Here is a 24,328-nt window from a genome sequence, read left to right as displayed (position 1 = left end):
GAACACGCTGTGTGACCACCGTGGATCGTCATATCCAGGGTGGGAGAGGGGGAGTGATATGACTCCCCGCATCGCAGGGGCGCCCGCCCCCCTGCGACGTGAATCATCATATCCAGAGGGGGGTGATATGACTGCCCGCATCGCGGGGGCCTCACCTGTTAGTATTTTTCATCTGTACTGTTTTACTGTCTCTACTGTAATTATTAATATTGATGATTACTATTAATTTTTTATTATTTATTAATATTAATAATTAATAAAACTGTTCCCGATATCCGTGGGAGAGAAGATAAGACTCCCTATATCGCAGAAAGTGTACACCCCTCTATGATGTTACTCCTAATAGCCGGGGGGTAGAGGATGACATTATTGAAAATAGCACAGTGGGTGTACATCCCTTCGGTCATCTTGTTCCTAATATCCTGGGTGGGAGCGGATGATATGACTCCCAATATCGCAGCAGGCGGACACCTCCCACGAGATACTGTCCCTAACATCCAAAAGTGGAGATGATGATATTTCTTCCAATTTCGCCGGGGGTGCACACCACCCTTGTGATATTGATCCTAATATCCAGGGGGGCGAAAGGATGATATTAGTCTGAATATTGCAGGATGTGTACACTCCCTAGGGATATTGTTCCTAATATAGAGGGACGGAGAGGATGATATCACTCCCAATATAGCCGGGAGTGTACACCCCTTGTGTGACATTGCTCCTAAAGGGCAGCGGGGGAGAGGAAGATATTACAGCCAATATCGCAGGGGGTGTACACCCCCTTGTGACATTCTTCCTTCTATCCTGGGAGGGAGAGGAAGATACTAGCGGCAATGTCGCAGGGGCTGTACACACCCACTGTGATATTGTTCCGAATATCCGGAGGGGGAGAAAATGATGTTACTTCCAATATCGCGGGGGGTGTACATCCTCCTGTGATATTGTTTCTTATATTCAGGGGGAGAGGATGACATTACTCCCAATATCGCAGGGGTTGTACACACCTCCTGTGATACGGGGAGTAAGAGCCAGCCCCTCTCCCCCCTGGCTCTTAGGAGCCCCATCGCAGGGGGGTGAGACCCCACCCGGGGTACGGGGAGTAAAAACCAGACCCTATCCTCCCCTGGCTCTTAGCCGCCACACTAAGGGCTCCAACATGTTCCCTCACACACTCAACAGAGAAGGAACCTGTGGCTCAGATGGGAGACTCCCTGTCCAAGGCCACAGAGTCTGGCCCCAGGGACCACTAGAGGCTTCAAGAACCAAACTCACATGAGGGCAGAGAGGAGAGATGGGGCCAGTTTAGGGCTGGGAGAATCCATAGAGCGATGCTGAGGCAGGCATGGAGCCTGGAGGTACGGACGAGGGTCTCGCCAAAGTCAGGGGTAGAGAGGCTGTGGAGAGTGAGGAATGGTGTGGACCAGCCCCGGGCCTGCTGGGGTGCAGCTGGGGGCTCCATGGCCCTCCCACGGCCCCCACTTGTCCTCACCCAACCGTTCAGAGCTCTTCATGGCGGGGGTGTCCCTCTCTTCTGGCCACAAGAGGAGCGGGTGGAGGAACGGCACCTTCAGGCCTTGTAGGGGGTCTGCCCCTCCACCAGCCTGTTTCTCGTGGGCATCGCAGCTGAGGCTGTAGCAGGGAAAGGGTAGTAACCGAGCGTACCTGGCCTCCAACCACCACTTCCAAGGCCCCTACTGGGCACAGGGTGACCCCACCGTGGCTCGGAAGTGGACCCTGTCCGACTCGGGGATGGTCGCTGGAGGGCCGAGGGCCCCTGGAGGGTGTGCCTCGGGAGTCTGTCTCGCCCTCTGGACCCATGGGGGACCAGCAACGCCGTCACACCCTCCTCTGTCTCTGCCAGCCGCTCCGCCGCTCCCTTCTCCTGGCTGGGGCTGGCAAAGGCAGGCAGGTATGGGGGGGCGGGGCCTCAGGAGGGAGGAAGGGCTGGTGGGCGGGGCCTACGGACACCTCGCCCCGCCCCCAGTAGGGCGCCGCACTCCCCACACCCTGCGGTCCCCCTAGGTCAGGGCCTGTCACCACCGCGCCCAGAGGCCGGGCCAGCCGGGCGTGCATCCCAGGGGCGCTCCGTCCCCCGCGGCCTGGGACTCCCCAGTCAGGACAGTACAAAATCTCTTTATTGCTCATTTTCTGTAAAAAATCGTGGCTCTCGGCGGACCCTGGGGATAGGAGGTGCAAAGCGCGCTCACACGCGGCCCGGGTCCGCCGCCGAGAGCTGGGGGGATCTGGAGCGGAGCCGGGTCGCAAGAAGACCCTGACCCTGCTCCGGCGCTGGGGCGCGTGCTAAGGGCCCGCTGGGTTTCAGCTGTATTTTCGAACCGCTGTGCTTGGCCGAGGGGTTCCCAAAGCTCCACTCCGCCTTGGAGGGGGCTGCGGAAGCCCGGAGGTGACCTGGGCTCTGGGAGGGGCGTCCCCAACGTGGGGGACGGGAGACAGGGGCCTTTGAAGACAGCGCGGGACTCGGAGGGGGTCCCCCCGACCTAAGAAGTGGTAAACTAAGGCCGGCGAGGAGGGAGGCTGAGTCCGTGGACCAGGCGGCCCCTCACTGCTCCTCTGGCCAGTCGCCCCCCTGCGCCTGTTCCTACGGGCAGGGCCGGCGGCCGAGTCCAGCCTGCTCGGGACCAGGCCTGGTCCCCGCGGGCGGCGCCTCCTCCTCCGCGCCGTCCCCATGCTCGCCCTCCGCGTCGCTCTCGTCCGAGTTGTCCTCCTCCAAGTAGCGGTAACTGCGCACCTTGTGCTGGGGCCACGGGATGCGGGGCTGGCGCACGCCCCGCCGCAGCTTCTGCTCCATCCGCAGGTAGGAGACCGCGGCCGCCACCAGCGTCACCAGCAGCACCGCCAGCTTAGCCTGGGGGTAAGGAGAGGGATGCCAGGGAGCCGCGGCCGCCTCGCCCCGCACCTTCCCCGCCTATGCCCCTCGCTGAGATAGGCCCTTCCCTCCTCCGGGAGCCTCCCGGGCCACGCGGCCCTCAACTTCTCCAGCCCCTCCACCCACGCTTCCTGGACCGCCTCCTGCAGGCGAGGCTCACATCCAGCACTGTCCCTTACAGTCGTCATGCCCCTGGCGACCTCAGTGTCCCACGCTGTAAGGGAACAATACAAATCCCTTCGCCTCATAGGGTGCATGCGCCAGTGTTGATAAAGTGCTGGACACAGGCCCTGCCTTCCCAGGGCTCACAACACTGTGTCCCTGACACACCCGTGGGCTGTAGTGATGCTCTTCATGGGGTTTTGACTATAATCCGCAGTCAGGAATGATTTTACACCATAGCTCAGGACATACACACATATCTGTATGCATACTTCCTGCTCTTTTCTTTTTTCCAGACACAGTCGCTCCATTTCCCCACCGCGCCCCCTCCCTCCCTTCCCCCACCCACTGCTGGAGCGCCAGTGGCACGCTCACTTCAGCCTCAATCTTCCAGGCTCAAGCTATCCTCCCACCTCTGTTTCCCAAGTAGCTGGAACTACAGGCATGCGCCACCACGCCCAGCTAATTTTTAAATTTTTTGTAGAGACAGGGTCTCCTATGTTGCCCAGGCTGGTCTTGAACTCCTGGCCTCAAGCAATCCTCCTGCCTCAGCCTCCCAAAGTGTTGGGATTACAGGCGTGAGCCACCATGCCCAGCCCACTCACTGCTTTTCTTTTTTCTTTTTTTTCTTTTTTTTTTTTTGGGAGACAGAGTCTCGCTCTGTTCTCCAGGCTGAAGTGCGGTGGTGCGATCTGGGCTCACTGCAACCTCCATCTCCCAGGTTCAAGCCATTCTTGTGCCTCAGCCTCCAGAGTAGCTGGGATCACAGGGACGTGCCACCATGCCCAGCTAATTTTTGTGTTTTTAGTAGAGACAGGGTTTCATAGCCTGTTACCCAGGCTGGTCTCGAACTCCAGATCTCAGGTGATACACCCACCTCAGCGTCTCAAAATGCTGCGATTACAGGCATGAGCCACTGCTCCCGGCCCACTCCCTGCTATTTTTAGTTCTATTTTTATTTTTATTTTGAGACGGAGTTTCTCTCTTGTTGCTTAGGCTGGTTGGAGTGCCAAGACCCCGTCTCGGCTAACTGCAACCTCTGCCTCCCAGTTCAAGCGATTCTCCTGCCTCTGCCTCCCAAGTAGCTGTGATTACAGGCACCTGCCACCACGCCCGGCTAATTTTTGTATTTTTAGTAGAGACAAGGATTCACCATGTCGGCCAGGCTGGTCTCAAACTCCCTACCTCAGGCAATCCACTCGCCTCGGCCTCCCAAAGTGCTGGGATTACAGGCGTGAGCCACTGCGCCCAGCCTTTAGTTCTATTTTTAAAAAATGTTTAGCAACTGGGACTTGCTAGACCGAGCCACCATCTTTTGGGAGCAGAGCATGAGAAGCCTGCTCCCGTTCAGGCCATGAAGGGAGACAGACCCAACATCTGGAGAACAGGGTACCAAACAGCCCACAGGATGGCTGTGATGCACCCACAAATCCCCTCAGAGATGGGCAAACTGAGACTGGCTGGAGGTGGGCCAGTAAGTGAGGTGCTGAGTTGGGGGCCACCCAGTGGGCTGCAGGAATGGGGCCTTGGCCCAGAGACTGGCTTGGGAAGGGGTGGCGTTTAGGAAGCTGTGAAGCCAGGGCAGGGGCTAAGGAAGTATCTGTCATTCGGCATGGGGCCCCCAACCCTGCCCAGTCTCACCTTCATGTGCAGGCTCGAGCCCAGGTACACAGTGAAGATGGCCACAGCCTGCCACCAGTGGTAGATGGTGAAGATGAAGTCCTGTCTCTCCTTGTCTTCGTACAAGACTCCCAGGAGTGCTGCAGGCAGGCAGTACAGGGCAGGCAGGGGAGAGGTGTCACCTGGGGCCTGGGGCTGCCGAGCTACCATCTACGAACTTTACTAAGCCCTGTATGTGTCCCAGCCCGGGACCAGAGAGCGCCTAGAAAGTGCTGTGAGGCGGTCCTGGCCTGCCCCCTGGTGGAGACCCTGGTCACCACACTGCTCACACGCTAAGCAGAAGTAGGAGCAGGTGCGCCGGGCTGTGTGGATGCAGGTGGTCCCGCTCCGCACCACATGCGTGGCCTCAAAAGAAGAAAGCTCTGTGCTTAGTCATGTCCTGTCCCCAACCCCAGGTGTACAGTGCCAAGCTTGCAGGCGCTGTTTCTCCTCCTCAGCCGGGACTAGAGAGATCGAACTGTTTGCAGCTGCCAACTCTGCAAATCAAACCTGAAGCTAAGCATGGAGAGGGGGGCTTCCTTTCCAGTGAGTCCTCCCAGGGTGGGCAGCAAGAGTAATGGATTGGGAGTCAGAAGATGCACACTCATTCTCAGGACTGTAATGTTGGCTCCGTGGGTGATTTGGGTACTTAACTCCCCAGAGCTGCTTTTCCCAATGGTGAGATGAGCTTATGCCTATTGTGTGCTGTGTTCTGAAGTTCTAAAGTGAGAAAGAGGGCATGGCACCTGCCAGATCATAGGGGCCACTATAAACACCTTCACCAGGCACTCAGGACATGAACACTCCTGTCTTGGGGCCTTGCAGGGTGACTTTACCCCCACAGTGCTGCTATGAAGAGACAAGGATCCCCCAGGGTTCACCTGTGGAGATGGGATATGGAGCTGGGCAGAGGGGATGCCATGACCAGACAGGGCACAACATGGGTCCAAGATACCCAGGTTGGACTCTGCCCAGAATTGGCTATCATTGAGCAAAACGGCCAAGAGACTGTGGTGCAGTATGAGGCTCCAGCCCCTGCTACAGGCAGAGACACCCAGTCAGCCTCTGCCCTGCCAGCAGCAGGTATGACCTCTGCCACCCCACACCCCCAAGGATGACGTTCAAAACTGTTCATAGCTTCGGCCCATCAGAACAGACACTGACATGGATGCCCCGCAGGACTGTGCCCGTGTGTGCTAGCTGTGTGTCACTGCGTGTGCCCATCTGTGGGCAGGGAACATCCTGGAGCTGAACATGGGCCCACCCGCTGCCTTCTGCAAAGAGGGCCCTGTTCCCCAGCAGCCCAGAACTGAGGCCTGGACTCTGGTACTGAGCAGACTGGGTTGGGGCTGCAGGCCTGCTCCTCTCTATACAAAGGCCCATGTCTGTATCTATGCCGTGGATGTACAACAGGCCACTTGCTCCTACCACATGCTCCATGAGGCAGAGACCAAAACATCTGCTCCAAGTGTCACGAAAACAATGCCAGGGTAAGCCCTGTCCCCTGGTATGAAAAGGGAGAATCCCTGATGTGTTTTTCACACTGTCCCTAAGGGGTGTCCACAGAACCCCACACCTGCCCCGTGTAGCCACGAGATTTCACACTGACCCTCCAGTGTTGATGGGGCCCTGTGCCTGCCCTGGGGTATTAATGGAATGTCCATGGCGTGGAACCCCCACACCTGTCTCCAGGGTGTCCACGACCTACCCATCTGCCCCCAGTGTGTCCATGAGACTTCCCTTCCACCCCTGCAGTGTCCACAGGAAGCCCCACCGGCCTCTGCCATGTCCACAGGACCCTATGTGACCATGGGACCCAATATGTGTCCCTGGGATGTCTATGTCTAGCCAACCACCCACAGATAGCCATAAAGCCCCCTGCCCCGCCCCCCCCAGTGCCCACAGCTATACTCACTGCTGAGTCCAGTCTTGTTCAGGGTGCTGCCCACACCCCAAAGGGTGGCTGCCACACAGAGGATCCAGCTGTGTTGAAGGACCCGAGGCACAGGGGCCCAGAAAAAGGGGATGAAGGTGAGCAGCAGGTGCACCCCTGCTCCAGCCACGAGGGGCACCGGGCGTGGCAGCCACAAGCCCAGCAGGCCCAGGAGTGAGGCGACTGAGGCGCCCAGGCTGTAAGCCATGAGGAGGTAAGCAAGCCGCTCCAGCCCCACCGAGCACACGCCATAGCCCTGCGTGGGGACAAGGGGTGAGTGTTGAAGTCCAGAACAGCCCAGACCCCAGTCTCAGCCCTCCCCGCATCGCGGGGGGTGCCTCACCCCCCTGCGATGGGTGTCCTAAGAGCCATGGGGGGAGAGGGGCTGGCTTGTACTCCCCGCATCGCGGGGGGTGCCTCACCCCCCTGCGATGGGGGTCCTAAGAGCCATGGGGGGAGAGGGGCTGGCTTGTACTCCCCGCATCGCGGGGGTGCCTCACCCCCCTGCGATGGGGGTCCTAAGAGCCAGTGGGGGAAGAGGGACTGGCTCTTACTCCCCGCATGGCGGGGGGTGCCTCAACCCCCTGCGATGGGGTTCCTAAGAGCCAGGGAGGGAAGAGGGGCTGGCTCTTACTCCCCGCATCGCGGAGGGTGCCTCAGCCCCCTGCGATGGGGGTCCTAAGAGCCAGGAGGGGAAGAGGGGCTGGCTCTTACTCCCCGCATCGCGGGAGGTATGTACAACCCCTGCGATATTGGCAGTAATATCATCCTCTTCCCCTGAACCTAAGAAACAATATCTCAGGAGCATGTACGCCCCCTGCGATATTGGAAGTAACATCATTTTCTCCCCCTCCAGATATTCGGAACAATATCACAGTGGGTGTGTACAGCCCCTGCGACATTGCCGCTAGTATCTTCCTCTCCCTCCCAGGATAGAAGGAACAATGTCACAAGGGTGTGCACACCCTCTGCGATATTGGGGGTGATATCTTCCTCTCCCCCGCTGCCTATTAGGAACAATGTCACACAAGGGGTGTACACCCCCTGCTATATTGGGAGTGATATCATCCTCTCTGTCCCTGGATATTAGGAACAATATCCCTAGGGAGTGTACACCTCCTGCAATATTCAGACTAATATCATCCTCTCGCCCCCTGGATATTAGGATCAATATCACAGGGGTGGTGTGCACCCCCGGCGAAATTGGAAGAAATATCATCCTCTCCACCTTTGGATGTTCGGAACAGTATCACGGGGGAGGTCTCCGCCCACTGCGATTTTGGGAGTCGTAACATCCGCTCCCACACAGGATATTCGGAACAACATGACCGAAGGGATGTACACCCACTGCGCTATTTTCCATAATGTCATCCTCTACCCCCTGGCTATTAGGAGTAACATCATAGAGGGGTGTACACTTTCTGCGATATTGGGAGACATATCTTCTCCCCCACGGATATCGGGAACAGTTTTATTAATTATTAATATTAATAAGTATAATAACAATTAATAGTAATCATCGATATTAATAACTACAGTGGAGACAGTAAAACTTAATGTGGATTAAAAATATTAATGATTACAATTAATAATAGCAACATCAATATTAATAATAAAATAATAATATCAGTAATTAATGTTACTTAAATCCATCATAAGTGATGTTGGTAATAAAACAATGATTAATATTAATATTAATAACTAATATTTTTTAAAATGGCATTAATAGTAAGAATTATTTTAATCATGCATAATCATATCTTTAAAATAATCATTAATGACTAATAACGTTATACTATTAATTAATATTACCATTGATAATCATTAATGAGACTGATGTTTAATAATTCATAATATTGTTATTCCTAATACCGCAGGGGGTGTACACCTACCTGTGATATTGTTCTTAATATCCAGGGATGGAGAGCATGATATTAGTTTTCATATCGCAGTAGGTGTACACTCACCCTGTGACACTGATCCTAATATCCAGTGGGTGGAGTATGACATGACTGCCAACACAGCAATCAATGCACAGCCACCCGGTGATATTGCTCCTAATATTCACGGAAGAAGAGTATATTACTCCCAATATCGCAGGGAGTGTACACCTCTTCTGTGATATTGTTCCTAGTATCCCGAGGGGGAGAGGGTGACAATAATTCCAGCATCGTAGGCTGTGTTCACCCAGCCTGTGATATTGTTATTAATATCCTGAAAGGGAGAGGATGATATTACTCCCCATAATAGATAGATATGACTCCCCATAATAGAGCAGGAGGTGTACACCCACCCTGTGATATTCTTCCTCATATTAAGAGGCCGAGAGGTTGATATTACTCCCAATATCGCAGGAAGTGTACACCCCCGTGTGAGATGGTCCTTCGTAATATTCCAAGGCAGAGGGGGTGATATGACTACATATATCGCAGAAAGTGTACACCCCCCAGGGATATTGTTCCCATGATCCTGGAGGGAAGAGGATGATATTACTTTAAATATCACAGAAGGTGGACACGCCCCCACTGATATTGTCTCTAATTGCAACGTGGGAGAGGAGGATATGATACCCAATATCGCAGGGAGTAGAAACACCGCTGTGATACTGTTCTTAATATTCAGGGAGGACGAGGATGATATTACTCCCAATACAGACGGGTGTACACCCGTCTGTGAAATAGTTCATTATTTCCAGAGGGGAGATGATATTACTCACAATGTGGTAAACAGGCTGTGAGTCCACTGCGGATCCTAAAAACCAGGGGGGGAAGAGGGGCTGGCTCTTACTCCCCGCATCGCGGGGGGTGCCTCACCCCCCAGCGATGGGGGTCCTAAAATCCAGGGTAGGAAGAGGGGCTGGCTCTTACTATTCCTGAAGGAATAGTTTAGAGGGACTCATTCCCTGCTATCGTGGGTGAGATGTCTATGAAAAGGACAACCAGTTGGGGAGGGTAGCAAAATTTTGAAGTAGATTTCTGAGACCCCCAGCACAACCAAGAACAGAAACTCCACACTCTGCTGAGCGGATAGTTTGCACATTGGTCTCCTCCCATCTGCCCAGCTCACTCTCCTGTTTGTCCTGAGGAGGAAACAAAACAAGGCTCCCTACCGTCCCTCAGCACTCACTTGAAGGGGTGGCCCATCCCTCCACACCTGGGGGTATTTCTAGTCGGGTGGGATGAGAGACTGAGAAAAGAAATAAGACACAGAGACAAAGTATGGAGAAACAACAGTGAGCCCAGGGGACCGGCGCTCAGCATACCAAGGATCTGCACTGGCACAGGCCTCTGAGTTCCCTCAGTTTTTATTGATTATTATTTTTATTATTTTAGCAAAAACGAATGTAGTAGGAGGGCAGGGTGATAATAAGGAGAAGGTCAGCAACGAAGAGGTGAGCAATAGAATCTATGTCATAATGAAGTTCACGGGAAGGTACTATGACTGGATGCGTACGTAAGCCAGATTGATGTTTCTCTCCACCCAAACATCTCAGTGGAGTAAAGAATAACAAGGCAGCATTGCTGCAAACATGTCTCACCTCCCACCATAGGGCGGTTTTACCCCCATCTCAGAATTGAACAAATGTACAATAGGGTTTTATACCGAGACATTCAGTTCCCAGGGGCAGGCAGGAGACAGTGGCCTTCCTCTCTCTCAACTGCAAGAGGCTTTCCTCTTTGACTAATCCACCTCAGCCAGACCCTTTACTGGTGTCGGGCTTGGGGATGGTCAGGTCTTTCTCCTCCCATGAGGCCACTTTTCAGACTATCACATGGGGAGAAACCTTGGACAATACGCCGCTTTCAAGGGCAGGGCTCCCTGCGGCTTTCCACAGTGCATTGTGCCCCTGGTTTATTGAGACTAGAGAATGGTGATGACTTTTACCAAGTATATTGCTTGGAAACATCTTGTTAACAAGGAACGTCCTGAACAGCCCTAGATCCCTCAAACCTCGATTTCATACAACACATGTTTTTGTGAGCTTCAGGTTGGGTCAAAGTGGCTGAGGCAAAGCTACACATTAACAACATCTCAGCAAAGCAATTGTTGAATGTACAGGTCTTTCTCCAAATGGAGTCTCTTATGTCTTTCCTTTCTACATAGACACAGTAACAGTCTGATTGTTCTTTCTTTTGCCTGCACTCATTGAACTGCCCTTCCCCTCTGCTGGGCCATGACCACGGAGAACAGGTCCACTGTCCTCCCTGTGTGGTGCACCATGGAGGCTCAGACTCCATCCTCAAGGCTGGCAAGAAGACAGGATGAGACATGAGCCTCCTGATACAGGTGACGGGAGTGGAGCCCACAGGACTGGAACCTCACACTGCAGGGCTGGAGGCACAGACTGACTATTTACTATTCTGTGGCCTGGGGGGCTCAAGGCACAGAGCTCCTTATTAGCCAAAGTCACCCAAGTTCCCCAACCTCTAAGGATTTCCTTATAATAATGCAAGAAGAAGAAGAGAAAAGTGAGTGTCCATAGAAGCTTTGGGGCTCTTCCTCGAATCAGGAGAAAGCTGGTGTGTATTCTTCGCTTCTTTCTTTTCTTTTTAAACATCCAACTGCTTTAGTTTTCATCTTTTATTATGGGAAAATATACCACGTATAAATATGAAAAATTATAAATATATATTAGTTCATATAGATTGGCCAGTATAAACATTTACAGTTTCCACGCTTTTTCAGTTTGCAGTTTCATGACATTAAGTACTTTCACATTGTTTAGCAACCATCACCGCCATCCTCTCCGGAACAGTTTTATCTTTCAAAATGGAAATTGCACCCATTCACCAAGCTCTCCACTCCTCTCTCTCGCCCACCCCTGGGGGCCACCTTTCTAGTTTGCAACTCTATGAGTTTAACTACTCTAGACACTTAATAGATAAGTGGAATCATACCGTATTTAATTTTTTTGTTTTGGAAACAGAGTCTTTCTCTGTCACCCCGGCTGGAGTGCAGTGGCGTGATGTCGCCTCACTGCAACCTCCATATCGTGGGTTCAAGCGATTCTTGTGTCACAGTCTCCAGAGTAGCTGGGATTACAGGCGTGTGCCACCACGCCCAGCTAATTTTTGTATTTTTAATAGAGACCATATTGGCCAGGCTGGTCTCGAACTCCTGACCTGAAGTGATCCACCTGGCTCAGCCTCCCAAAGTGCTGGGGTTACAGGGGAGAGCCACTGAGCCTGGGCATGTTTATCCTTTTGGTATTCATTTATTTCACTGACGATAATGTTTTCAAGGTTCTTCCATGTTGTGGCCTGCGTCAGAAGTGCCTGTCTGTGTTTTGTTTTGTTTTGTTTTTTGTTTGTTCGTTTGACTTTGTTTTGTTTTGTGTTTCCATGGAGTCTCACTCTGTCGCACAGGCTGGAGTGCAGTGGCACAATCTGGGCTCACTGCAACCTCCGCCTCCCGGGTTCCAGCCATTCTTGTGCCTCAGCCTCCCGAGTACTTGGGACTATAGGCACACGCCACCACGATCGTCTCATTTTTTTGCATTTTCAGTAGAGACAGGGTTTCACCAAGATGGCCAGGCTGGTCTTGAATTCCTGATCTCAGGTGATCCGCTCACCTCGGTCTTCCAAGACGCTGCGATTACAGGCATGAGCCACCGCACCAGCCAGAAGTGCCTGCCTTTTGAAGGCTGAATAGTCTTCCATTGTATGAAGGAACTGCAGTGTGCTTTTTCATTCATCTGTCCACGAACCCTTGGGTTGCTTCCACATTTTGGCTGTTGTGAATAATGCTGCTATGAATATGGGTGTACACAAATCTGTCTTCCACTCCTGGCTTCTAAATCTTTTTGGTAGGTACCCACAAATGAAACTGCGGGAACATCTGATCATTCTGTTTCTAATTTTTCCAGTACACGCCATACTATTTTCCCCGTTCCTTCACGGTTTTACATTCCCTGCGATCAGATTCGAGCATTCCTACTTCCCTTTAGTCTCACCAATGCCTGTTTGTTTATCATATCCATCCTAATGTGTGGTATCACGTTCTTGGTTTGATTTGCGCTTCCCTATGATGAGTGATTTTGAACATCATTTTAGATGCTTATTGGCCATTGCTATATCTTCTTTAGACACACGTCTACTCGAGTCTTCTGACCATTGTTGATTGAATACTTTGGGTTTCTCTTTGTTTAGTTCTAGCTGTTCTTTATATGTGATGGATATCAGCCTCTTTTCAGATATACGCTTTAAAAATGTTTTTCCTAATCCGTGGGTTATCTTTTCACTCAGTTCGCAGTGTTTTTTGCTGCACAAAAGTGTCTGTCATTTAGATGTAATCCAAGGAATCTAATTTTCTTTTGTTGCCTATGCTTTTGGTGTCATATCCCAGAGAACATTGCCCAATCTGATGTCATGAAAGCGTGGCCAATGTTTTCTTTTAGGCATATGATACTATTAGTGCTTGGGGTGAGGTCTTTGATCCAGTTTGTGTTAATTTTTGCACCTGGTGTGACATAGGGTCCACCTTCATTCTTCTGCATGTGGAAATCAAGTTTCTCCAACACCATTTCTTGAAAAGGCTGCTTTTCCACCAATGAACTTTCTTAGCACTCATGTGAAAAATCATTTGAACATATAGTGAGAAGTTATTTCTGGGCTCCAAAACAGACAAACAACAACAGACAACAGATAAGGATACAGCATGGGCCGGGCGCGGTCGCTCACACCTGTAATCCCAGCACTTTGGGAGGCCGAGGCGGATGGATCACCTGAGGTCAGGAGTTGAAGACCAGCCTGACCGACAGGGAGAAACCCCCGTTTCTACTAGAAATACAACATTAGCTGGGCGTGCTGGCTCATGCCTGTAATCCCAGCTAATCGGGAGGTGGAGGCAGGAGAATCACTAGAACCCAGGAGGCAGAGGTTGCGGTGAGCCAAGATTGCACCATGACACTCCAGCCTGGGCAACAAGAGCAAAACTCCATCTCAAAACAAACAAACAAAAAAACCCAGCATGATTTCAAGAGCAGAAAGAGAAGAGCTTAAAAATCAGCATAATGAGAAAGTTAGGAAGCTTCTTACCAAAGCATCTGGAAATATACAACAATTCTTGTGAACTAAAATTTTCATACTGTACTATCAAACACTAGAACTCACTTATTCCATCTTTCTGTATTTTGGGACCCAATTATCCACTTGTCTTCATTCCCTATCCCATCCCTTTCCTTCCTAGCGTCTGCTAACAACCTTCATACTTTCCACCTTCCTGAGATTCCTTTTGTGTATAGGTGTGTGATGGAGTCTCTTTCTGTTGCCCAGGTTGGAGTACGCAGACACAATCCGGGCTCACTGCAAGCTCCGCCTCCCGAGTTCAAGCGGTTCTTGGGCCTCAGCCCTCTGAGTAGCTGAGACTACAGGCACGCGTCACCACGCTCGGCTCATTGTTTGTGTTTTCCGTAGAGACGGGGATTCACCATGTTGTCCAGGCGGGTCTCGAACTCCTGGACTCAAGTGATCCGTGTGACTGGGCCTCCGAGAGTGCTGGGATTACAGGCCTGAGCCACCACACCTGGCCAAGGTTTCCTTTTTTCTTCAAACACAGAAGTGAGGACATGAAATATTTGTTATTCTGTGCCTGGCTTATTTCATTTAATATACAGACCTGCAATCTCATCCATTTTGTCTGCAGCGGAGAGGATTTTCTTCCTTTTTAGGCTGAATAATACTTCACTGGTTGTGTATACCACAGTTTCTTCATTGAAACAAATTTCTGAAGAGCAAATATTTTTAAAATGTCTCGGAATGTGAAACTTCAGGGATACTGTGCCCATTTTATTGTTTTCTATTTCCCATCTTATGTATATGCAAGTGTATAACAAAGCAGCAACCAATGTGTGTATAAATCTGTAACTTCAAGAAATGTAAAAGGTAAATGATAAGTGGTGGCTGGGCGCAGTCGCTCATGCCTGTAATCCCAGCACTTTGGGAGGCGGAAGCGGGCAGTTCACCTGAGGTCGGGAGTTCAAGACCAGCCTGACCAAAATGGAGAAACACTGTCTCTATTAACAATACAAAAAAAAAAAAAAAAAAATTAGCCAGGCATGGTAGCGCATGCCTGTAATCCCAGCTACTTGGAAGGCTGAGACAGGAGAATTGCTTGAATAGGGGAGGCAGAGGTTGCAGTGATCCGAGACCGTGCCATTGAACTCCAGCCTGGGCAACAAGAGTGAAACTCTGCCTCAAAAAATAAGGAAAAGAAAGAAACAGAAAATGCGAAATGTTAAGAAAAAACAGCATAATAAACGTTTGTATGGTGTTGATGGACAATGCATTTAAAGATAATATTTGAAGAAATCATATTACAATTAATTTCTGTTCTTATTCATTGGAGCTTGATGCCCCTAAAAACTTCGTCATTGGAACCACCTCTGGTGCTTTAAAAGAAAAAAAAAAAAAATCCACATACTCACACAGGTGCAAGGAAATCAGAATCTCAGGTATTGAGACCCAGGCCTCATCATTTGTAAGCTCCCCAGGTGAGTTGACTCAAAGCCAAGATTGAGGAACGGCGACATGGATCTCTACACAGAACCTGCCTAAATAGATTCTCTAGAAGCAGTTTATAAAGAAATTCCACATGGACTGTGGAAGAGGATATGAATTTGATGTACAGTATGTCCTCACTTAACATCTTTGAAAGTCTGTTGGAAACTTCACCTTGAAGCAAATTATGTATAGTGAAACCACTTATTTTTCATCAACAGTATAACTACACAACTTTGAACAACCAATGGTGTTGGAGGACCTCCTGTACATTGTTTCCATAAAGTCAGTTTTCAGGGAATTCCAAAACGAAGTGAGGACTTCGAGTATATAAAAAGATGGTTGTGATTCCACCTGGATGACAGGGTTATTGCTCAGAAACTAAAAGAGGCCGCCTAGGTATAGAGGATTCTGTCATGAGGTTTCTGCTAAACAAAGGATCCCAGAATCCTCATCCATTCCAGTGAAAGGCATAACGAAGAAAGCAATATTCACAAAGGAAATGCGGAAAGGAATAAAAGCCATCAAGCCACAAAAAGAATGTGACTAAGGGGCAGGATTTGCAGATGTAGGGATTTAATGTGGTTGCCCTTTCTCACCCACCAAGAAAAAGGATGGAACAGATCATGAGATTCGACTGTTCTGCTGAGCAGCCTCCGCAGGGCACTTTGTATGTCCCTGTTTCTCAGGCTGTAGATGAAAAGGTTCAGCATGGGAGTGACAACAGCGTATATCAATGATGCCACCACACCATTCCTGGGGGGTGGTGACACAGCTGAAGTCAGGTACATGCCAATGCCTGTTCTATAAAATCAGCAAACAACTGCCTGGTGAGAGCCACAGGTGGAGAAGGCTTTATACTTCCCATCTGACGATGAAATCCTTAGAATGGAGGGGACGATTTTATAGTAAGACCATAGGATCCCTGAAATGGGAAGGAAACCAAACATAGTACTATCAAAATATATGAATATGCTATTGATGACGCCGTCAGAACAGGCAAGTTTGAGAAGTTGAGAGGGGTCACAGACAAAATTAGAGATTTCCACATTCTTGAAGATGGTGAATTGTAACACAATCCAACTGTGCAGCTGGGAATCCAACAGGCTAAGGAAAAAGGACACCAAAACGAAGAAGACACAGAAGTGAGGATTCACGATGACTGGGTAGTGCAGAGGGCGACAGATGGCTACAAAGCAGTCATAGGCCATCACAGTCAGGAGCATGCCTTCTATACATGCAAAAAGGAACAAGAAAGACATCTGCGTCAGACAGCCCGCATGAGAGATGGCTCTGCTATGCGACTGCATGTCCACAATCATCTTGGGAACCGTGGCCGAGGTGAAACCGATGTCAGCCCAGCACAGGTTGGAGAGGAAGAAGTACATGGGGGTGTGGAGGGGAGAGACAGAGCTGACAGCCAGGATGATGAGCAGGTTCCTCAGCACCGTGACCAGATACATGGACAGGGACAGGGAGAGCAAAGCGAGAACCGGCTGCAGTTCTGGATCCTCTGGGAGTCCAAGGAGGAGGAATTCTCAGACACCTGTGAGATTCCGTGGCTCTGTGTGTCTTGGACACCTTGAGAAGGAAAGAGGATTGGAAAAATAAAAGATAAAAACCAGCTCTTAATGCTTGATGCAAGTAATTCAGAAGGAACATTTTCACACTTGCGGACCATACACCACCAGCAATGTTTCTCAGTTGTGACAATTCCAAAAAAATCTCAGAATTATTACGTGATTTACTTTTTTGCTATACAAGGCTTTCTGTACATACTACTTTAGAGAAAATCCACTGAAGAATATTAGAAGACCAAAACGTCTTATAACAAATCCTTGATCTCAGTAAAATACGGCCTACCCTTTTCAGAAAAAAATACAATGCAATGACAATGTCCTTCTCTCTTTAAGAAAAAGATCTCAGTCTAATTGAAAGAAATTAAGAAGCCGTGAAATACACTGTACTTTATTCTGACACCGTGCTACAACTTCCATTGATGTAGAATATGTAAAAGGACGACACAAGAGCTAGGACCCCATTATCTGAAAACGAAATCAAACGTTATAGTTCTCAATCGGAAGACCTTTTCCCATGCCTGTTACTTTTCATATTTATCATCATCCTTCGGTTTTCTGACATCATTTCTTCATAAAGGTACATGCACACTCAAAGATGGGAGCTGTGTTTCCAAATGAATTGAATCTATAACTCTTGGCCCAGCACCATGGCTCACACCTGTAATCCCATCACTTTGGGTGGCCGAGGCTGATGGATCACCTGAGGTCAGGAGTTCCAGACCAGCCTGGCCAACGTGGTGAAACCCCGTCTCCAGTGAAAATTAAAAAAAAAAAAATTAGCCGGGACTGGTGGCGGATAACCCTAACTACTCGGGAGGCTGAAGCAGGAGAATCCCTTAGAACCTAGAAGGCAGAGATTGGACACCCTGTGATAGGATTTTTGATATCCTAGGGAGATATTGCTCCTGACAGCAGAGTGGGTGTACACCCTGTGATATTATTTGTAATATCCTAGAAAGATATTGCTCCTAATATCATGGTTGCTCTACACCCTGTGATCTTAATTGTAATATCCTACAGAGACATTACTCCTAATAATACAGTGGGTGTACACCCTGTGATATTATTCATAATGTATTACAGAGATATGACTCCTGATATCACAGTGAGTGTACACCATGTTTGTACACTCTGTGATCTTATTTGTAACAACTTAGAAAAATATTACAGCTAATATCAAAGTGGGTGTACCCCCTGCGATGTTATTTGTTATCTACTAGGTAGATATTACTCCTAATATCACAGTGAGTGTACACCATGTGTGTACAGACTGTGAAATTATTCGTAATACCCTAGGAAGATATTACTCCTCATATCACAGTGGGTGTACACCGTGAGTGATATTTTTTTCTAATATCCAGCGCGGGAGAGGATGATATTGCTTCCAATATCACAGAAGGTGTACACCCCCCTGTGATTTTGTTCCTAATATCCAGGGAAGGAGAGGATGACATTATTCCCAATATCACTGGGGGTGTACCACCTCCCGCCAGGATATTGTTCTTAATATCCGGAGGTGGAGAGAATGATGTTACTCCCAATATCACAGGGGGTGTACACCACCCCGTTTGTAAACACCCCCTGTGATATTGTTCCAAATGGCCTGCGAAAGAGTAAACATGACTCCCATTATGGTGGGGGGTGTTCAGCCATGGTGATATTGTTTTCTAACATCCAGGGAAGGAGAGTATTCTATTCCTTCCAATATCGCAGGGGTTGTACACCCTTTTGTGTTTTTGTGCCCAATATCCAGGAAACTAGAGGATGATGTTACTCCCAATGTCGAAGTAATTGTACAGCACCCCTGTGATATTCTCCCTAATATCCAGAAAGGAAAAGAATGATATTACTCCCAACAGCGTAGGAAACGTATACCCGCGCTGTGGTATCTTTCCCAGTGTCCAGGTGGGGAGAGGATCATATTACTTCCAATGTCGCAGGGTGTGTACACCCCCTTTGTGAGCTCGTTGCTAACATCCAGGTTTGGGGAGGACGACATTACTCCCAATATCGCAGGGGGAGTACACCCCCTCGTGACCTTGTTAGTCATTTCCTGGGTGGAGAGGATGATCTTACTCCCAATATCGCAGGGGGTGTACACACCCCTGTGAAAATCTTCCTATTTTCAGAGGGAGAGAGGATGATATTACTCCCAGGACCGCAGGGGGTTTCCATAGCCCTGTGATCCTCTTCCTAATATCCACAGGGAGAAAGGATGATACGACTCCCAATATCGCAGGGGGTGTACACAACCCTGTGATATTGTTCCTAATATCCAGAGCGAAAGAGGATGATATGACTCTCAATATCACAGAGGGTGTGCACCCCTCCTGTAATATTGTTCTGAATACCCTGGGAGGGAGAGGATAAGGTTACATTGAATATCGCAGGGAATGTACACCCTCCCCCTCTGATACCCTTCCTAATGTGCAGGGGAAGAGAGGAAAATTTCACTCCCAATATCACAGAGGCAGTACACCCCACCTGTGATGTTGTTCCCAATATGGAACTACTCTCAATATCGCAGGGCTGTTCACATCGCTAGTGACATTTTTTCCTAATATCTAGGGGAGAGACAATGCTATGACAGCAAAGGTCGCAGGGTCTGTGCATCCCTTCCTGATATTGCTCCTAATGTCCAGGGGGAAAGAGGATGATATCAAATATGAAAGGGGGTGTACATCCCCCACCACTACGATATTGTTCTTAATAATCGTGAGGGGAGTCAATGATATTACTCCAAATATCGCAGGGGTTGTTCACAACCCCCTGTGATATTGTTTCTGATATCCGGGGGGGAGAAAATCATGTTACTTCCAATATTGCAGGTGGTGTAAACCCCACCTGAAATATGGCACCGAATATGCAAAGAGGGAGAGGTTGGTATTCATACCAATATCGAAGTGTGTGTACACGCCCCTTGTGATATGGTTTTTAATATCCAGTGGGCGGGAGGATGATATTAGTCCGAACATCCCAGAGGGTGTACACTACCCCTGTGATATTGTCCCTAACTTCCAGAGGGAAGAGGATGATATCACTCCCAAAATCTCAGAAGTTGTACATCCTCCGTGATATTGTTCGTCATATCCAGGGAGGCGCAGGATGACATTCCATTGAATTTCGCGACAGGCGTACACGCACAGTGTGATATTGTTCCTAATATCCAGGAAGGGAGAGGATGATATTACTCCCAATAAAGCAGTGGGTGTACATCACCCCTTTGTTATTGTCTCTAATATCTGGGGCCGGGGGAGTGGGGGAGAGGATAACATTCCCTCAAATTTAGCAGGTCATTTGACGCCGCTTGTGGTGTTGTTTTACATATCCAGTGGGGAAGACAATAGTACTATTTTTGATAGTCCGATTCATCCGCTCCACCTTTCCGGAATGCTGAGGCCGGGAGGCGGCATGCAGTTTCCGTGTGATCCCCAATACCTTTGCCGTCTTCTGTACCAAGGCAGCCAAAAACGCAGGCCCGTAGTCTGAGCCGATCCATAAGGGCGGTCGAAATCTAGGAATCAGATCTCAAAGAAGCACAGGGGTTACTTCACGAGCTTTCTCAGTTAGTGTTGGATAAGCCTCCACCCACCCAGAGTAGGTACACATAACAACTAGTAAATACTTGTTACCTCCACACTTTGGCATCTCTGTGAAGTCCACCTGGAGACCTTCAAAGAGGGCTGCTCCATAAGCTCATATGCCGTGCGGAACGGCTGGACATTGCCTCGCATCATGCTGTCGGCAGGTAACACACCGCTGCCTCACAGTTTTGGCAAGGGCTGACAAAGGTGAGATGTAGAAATACCAGCCTAACAACTTTTCCAGTGACTCCTGACCTCGATGGGTGGTTTCTTGCACAGCCAGTACAACTGCAGCTCCTAGCAGCTGTGGCACAGCTACTCTCCCATCTGCTAACCGAATCCATCCTTCCTCCATCACTTGTCCTTCCCTCTACCTGGAGAAAGTCCTTTTCTTCTTTAGAAGTAGGTCCAAGATCAGGTGCTTGAGGGAGCACTGATGCCCAGAAGGGGGCAGATGCTGCTTTTCGAGCGTCTGAGTCAGCGCGGGAATTCCCCAAACCCAGCAAGGTGGAAGCTCACTGGTGTCCCCTGCAATGCATAACTGCCACCTTGTGGAGTTTCCATACTGCTTCTAATCATTGCAAGATTTCTTGTTGATATTTTCTGTCTTTTTCCCCAGAGTTCAATAGGCCCTTTTCTTTCTATCACACTCCAGGCACTTGAAGGGTTGAAAAGACATACTGAGAATCAGTGTAAATGTTGACAGTCTGACCCTCACTGAGTTCTAAGGCCCGAATGAAAGCAATGAGTTCAGCTTTCTGGGCTGAAGTGCCCTGGGGCAACGATCTGGCTTCAACAACAGTGTCCAGGGTTATCACTGCATATCCTGCACCTCTCTCTCCTTGGGGGTTGAAGAAGCTGCTCCCATCCATGTATAGTTCCCAGTCTACTGATGCCCAAGTCTGGCCCCGGAGGTCAGGTCTGCTAGAGTCAATTGTGTCCAACACTTCTACACAACCAGGCTCGACAGGGCTCTCTGATAGCGGGAGCAAGGTGGCGGGGTGTAGGCTGTTACAAACTTCAGTGGTTATATGGGGATTTTCACAGAGCAAAGTTTGGTACTTGGTGAGTCTGGCATCGTTAGCCAATGATGTCCTTTAGTATTCATTAAAGTCACCACAGCATGGGAGGCCTTTATGTTCAGGTTTTGCCCAAGAGTCAGCTTATTTGCTTCTTGTACTGGCAGGGCAGTTGCTGCCAAGGCCCTCCAACAGGGGGGCCATCCTTTAGAGACCCAGTCTAGTTGTTGAGAGAGGTAGGACCCCGGCCTAGGCCTGGGCCCCACAGTTTGGGTTCAAAGTCCAGCTGCCATCTTTTCTCTCTCTGATTATACGATGGAAAAGGCTTTGTCAGATCAGGTAGCCCCAGGGCTGGCGCTGCCAGAAGTTTTTCCTTTAACTCATGAAAGACTTACTGTTGTTGGGATCCACATTCCAAAGGTTCCCAGTCCCCGCCCCTTTGGTGACCTCATACAAAGGCTTGGCTAATACAGCAAAGTTTGGGATCCACAGTCTACAAAACCCCACAGCTCCTAAGAATTCTCTCACCTGCCTTCTGCTCTTAGGCTCTGCTAGATTGCAAATGACCTGCTTTCTTTCTGATCCCGGGCTGCGTTCCGACCCCTGTCAGATAGTCAATCCCCAGAAACTTACCTGCTGTCGGCAGATCTGAGCTTTCTTCTTGGACAACTGATACCCACAGTCCTCCAGGTGCCAGTGTAGGACAACTGTTCCCTTGGCACACCTGACTGCCGTGGGGTGTTCCAGCAGAAGGTCATCAACCTACTGGAGCAACACACAGCCTAGGTCTCTGCTGGGAAACTTCTGGAGGTCGCGAGCCCACGCCTCCCCGAAGATGGTGGGGGAGTTCTTGAACCCTTGGGGAAGCCTGGTCCAAGTGTACTGAGTAGTGACACCTGACTCCGGATCTTCCCACTGAAAGGCAAACAGCTTCTGCCTCTCAGGGGCTAATCTGATAGGAAAGAAAGCGTCTTTCAGGTCCAAGCAGGTGAACCAGCTGTCCTCAGCTGGCGGCAACCCCAACAATATGGACGGGTTAGGTACTGTTGGATGGAAAGTCAGTGTAGCTTGATGAAGCAAGCGCAAATCCTGTACCGGCCGGTAGTCCTTGGTCCGTGGCTTGGGAACAGGCAGGAGGGGAGTGTTCCATGGAGACTGACAAGGAACAATAATTCCAAAAGTTCTTAGGTGCCTGAGACGGACCTGGATACCTTGAAGGGCTTCTCTGGGGACCAGGTCCTATTTTTGCCTCACCGGCTGGGCCCCAGTCTTAACTGGCCAATCCCGGAGGGTTGTCTTCTACCCGTACTCTTGGCCACCGCTTAGCCAGAGCTGGTCTTCTCTCTTGGCCCAGCTCAGTTCAGAAAAGTCTCCATTCCTCCTCTCGGGGGACCATAAGGGTCATAATGACTCCCGTTCTGGGTAACTTTAGCAGTAAAGAGCTGTGCTCTGTCAAAGAGACAGTGGCTCTCAGCTTGCTGAGCAAGTCCCTTCCCGAAAAGGTCAAGGGACAGTCAGGCATGTACCAAAACTGATGAATGACTTTATGTCCTCCTACAGTACAAGTCTGAGACAAGCAGAAAGCTTGCTTTGCTGAAACCCCCGTGGCTCCGATGACATCAATAGTCTTTTTGGATAAGGGGGCGACCGGGGCGGTTACTAGCGAATGTTCAGCACCGCTATCTACAAGAAAGTCAATGTCTCCACCCCCGACTGTCATTCTGACCAGAGGCTCTTTGGGAACGCTTGAGCCGGGTCTCCCTCAGTCCAATAACCCTTCTGCCAGGTTTAGCAGGGCCCCTTCCTCCTTGTCCGGGGCCTCCTGCTCTGAGTCACCTTGTTTTCTTTTGAGCTGAGGGCATTTGTTCTTCCACTGTCCTATTTCTTTACAATAAGCACACTGGTTATGCTGCAAACTCTGACAGCCAAGCTGAGTTTCTTTCCCAGGGCCCCCCTTCCCTTGCCTCTTTGGGGGGGCCCCTCTGATTGCTGCAGCTGACAAACAGGTCGTCGTGTCACCGGGCCTGACTTCCATTCTCTTTGCCATTTTCCTTAGGGCTTACTGCATCCCTGTTTACAAACACCTGGCTAGCTATTTCTAGTAATTGTGGTGGATTCATCCCTGCAAGCCCAGCCTGTTTCTGCAGTTTTCTTCTCATGTCTTCTGCGCTTTGACTGACTAAAGCCATGTGAATCATGCGCTGATTTTCAGGGCTATCGGGATCAAAGGGAGTATACATACGATAGGCCTCCCACAATTCTCTCTCATACAATTGTGCTGGACTTTCTTCTTTTCCCTGAATGACCTCAGAGAGCTTGTTAACGTTTGTGGCTTCCTGAGCTCCCCTCATTAATCCTTCCAAGAGAGCTTCCCTGTCTCGGTTTAGCCTTTGCATCTCCTCTCTTTCATGTGGGTCCAACTGGGGGTCGGTTCCTGGCAACTGGGTCCTTCCATACTCTTGGAGGTTTTGATAATCAGCTGGTGCGTGTTCCTCTAGCCACTTAGTTACTGCTTGGAGGACTCTCCGCCTTTCTTCGCTGTTAAAGAGGAACATGAGCAACTGGTGCCAATCAGCCCAGGTGGGGTCGTGGGTCTGGATAACAGCTTGGAGCAAATCAATTAGGGCTTGTGGCTTTTCGCTATAGGGCGGTGTATTGTTTTTCCAGTTGAGAAGATCGACGCAGGTGAAGGACTGGTAGCCAAAAACACGCCTCTCCAGCACTTGACCATCCTCATCTATCCCAGTATACTGCTGCTCTCTCAGGGGCATTTGTGTCCCCATTTTGGGTCATAAACAAGCTGCCGAGGGAGGGGTGGAATGGCGCAATGACTTACTGCAATTAATAATCTCAATTGTTAATGGACACTAATAATTATCAATATTAATAACCCATAATATAATTTTTAAAATCAATACCGATAATGATAATTAATATTAAATAGTTATACTAATGATAACAATGCATGATTAATATTGATTAATGACGCCTGATATTAATAACTGATAT

General features: G+C 49.6%; 2 pseudogenes, besides 2 other annotated features; both read right to left on the bottom strand.

Moving 5' to 3' along the window:
• Nucleotides 934-1,548: an enhancer, noted in NCBI's record as "H3K4me1 hESC enhancer chr11:71319653-71320267 (GRCh37/hg19 assembly coordinates)". NCBI's record gives its function as "activates a minimal SCP1, AML or CMV promoter by ChIP-STARR-seq in naive H9 embryonic stem cells {active_cell/tissue: H9 hESC(naive)}" and the evidence as "EXISTENCE:reporter gene assay evidence [ECO:0000049][PMID:30033119]".
• Nucleotides 2,111-6,895, bottom strand: UNC93B6 (unc-93 homolog B6 (pseudogene); annotated as a pseudogene).
• Nucleotides 2,165-2,779: an enhancer, noted in NCBI's record as "H3K4me1 hESC enhancer chr11:71318422-71319036 (GRCh37/hg19 assembly coordinates)". NCBI's record gives its function as "activates a minimal SCP1, AML or CMV promoter by ChIP-STARR-seq in primed H9 embryonic stem cells {active_cell/tissue: H9 hESC(primed)}" and the evidence as "EXISTENCE:reporter gene assay evidence [ECO:0000049][PMID:30033119]".
• OR7E87P (olfactory receptor family 7 subfamily E member 87 pseudogene) lies at nt 15,850-16,497 on the bottom strand (annotated as a pseudogene).

This window comes from Homo sapiens, chromosome 11, assembly GCF_000001405.40.
Source record: "Homo sapiens chromosome 11, GRCh38.p14 Primary Assembly".
Lineage (NCBI taxonomy): Eukaryota > Metazoa > Chordata > Mammalia > Primates > Hominidae > Homo > Homo sapiens.
This window is presented reverse-complemented; position numbering and strand designations above follow the sequence as displayed.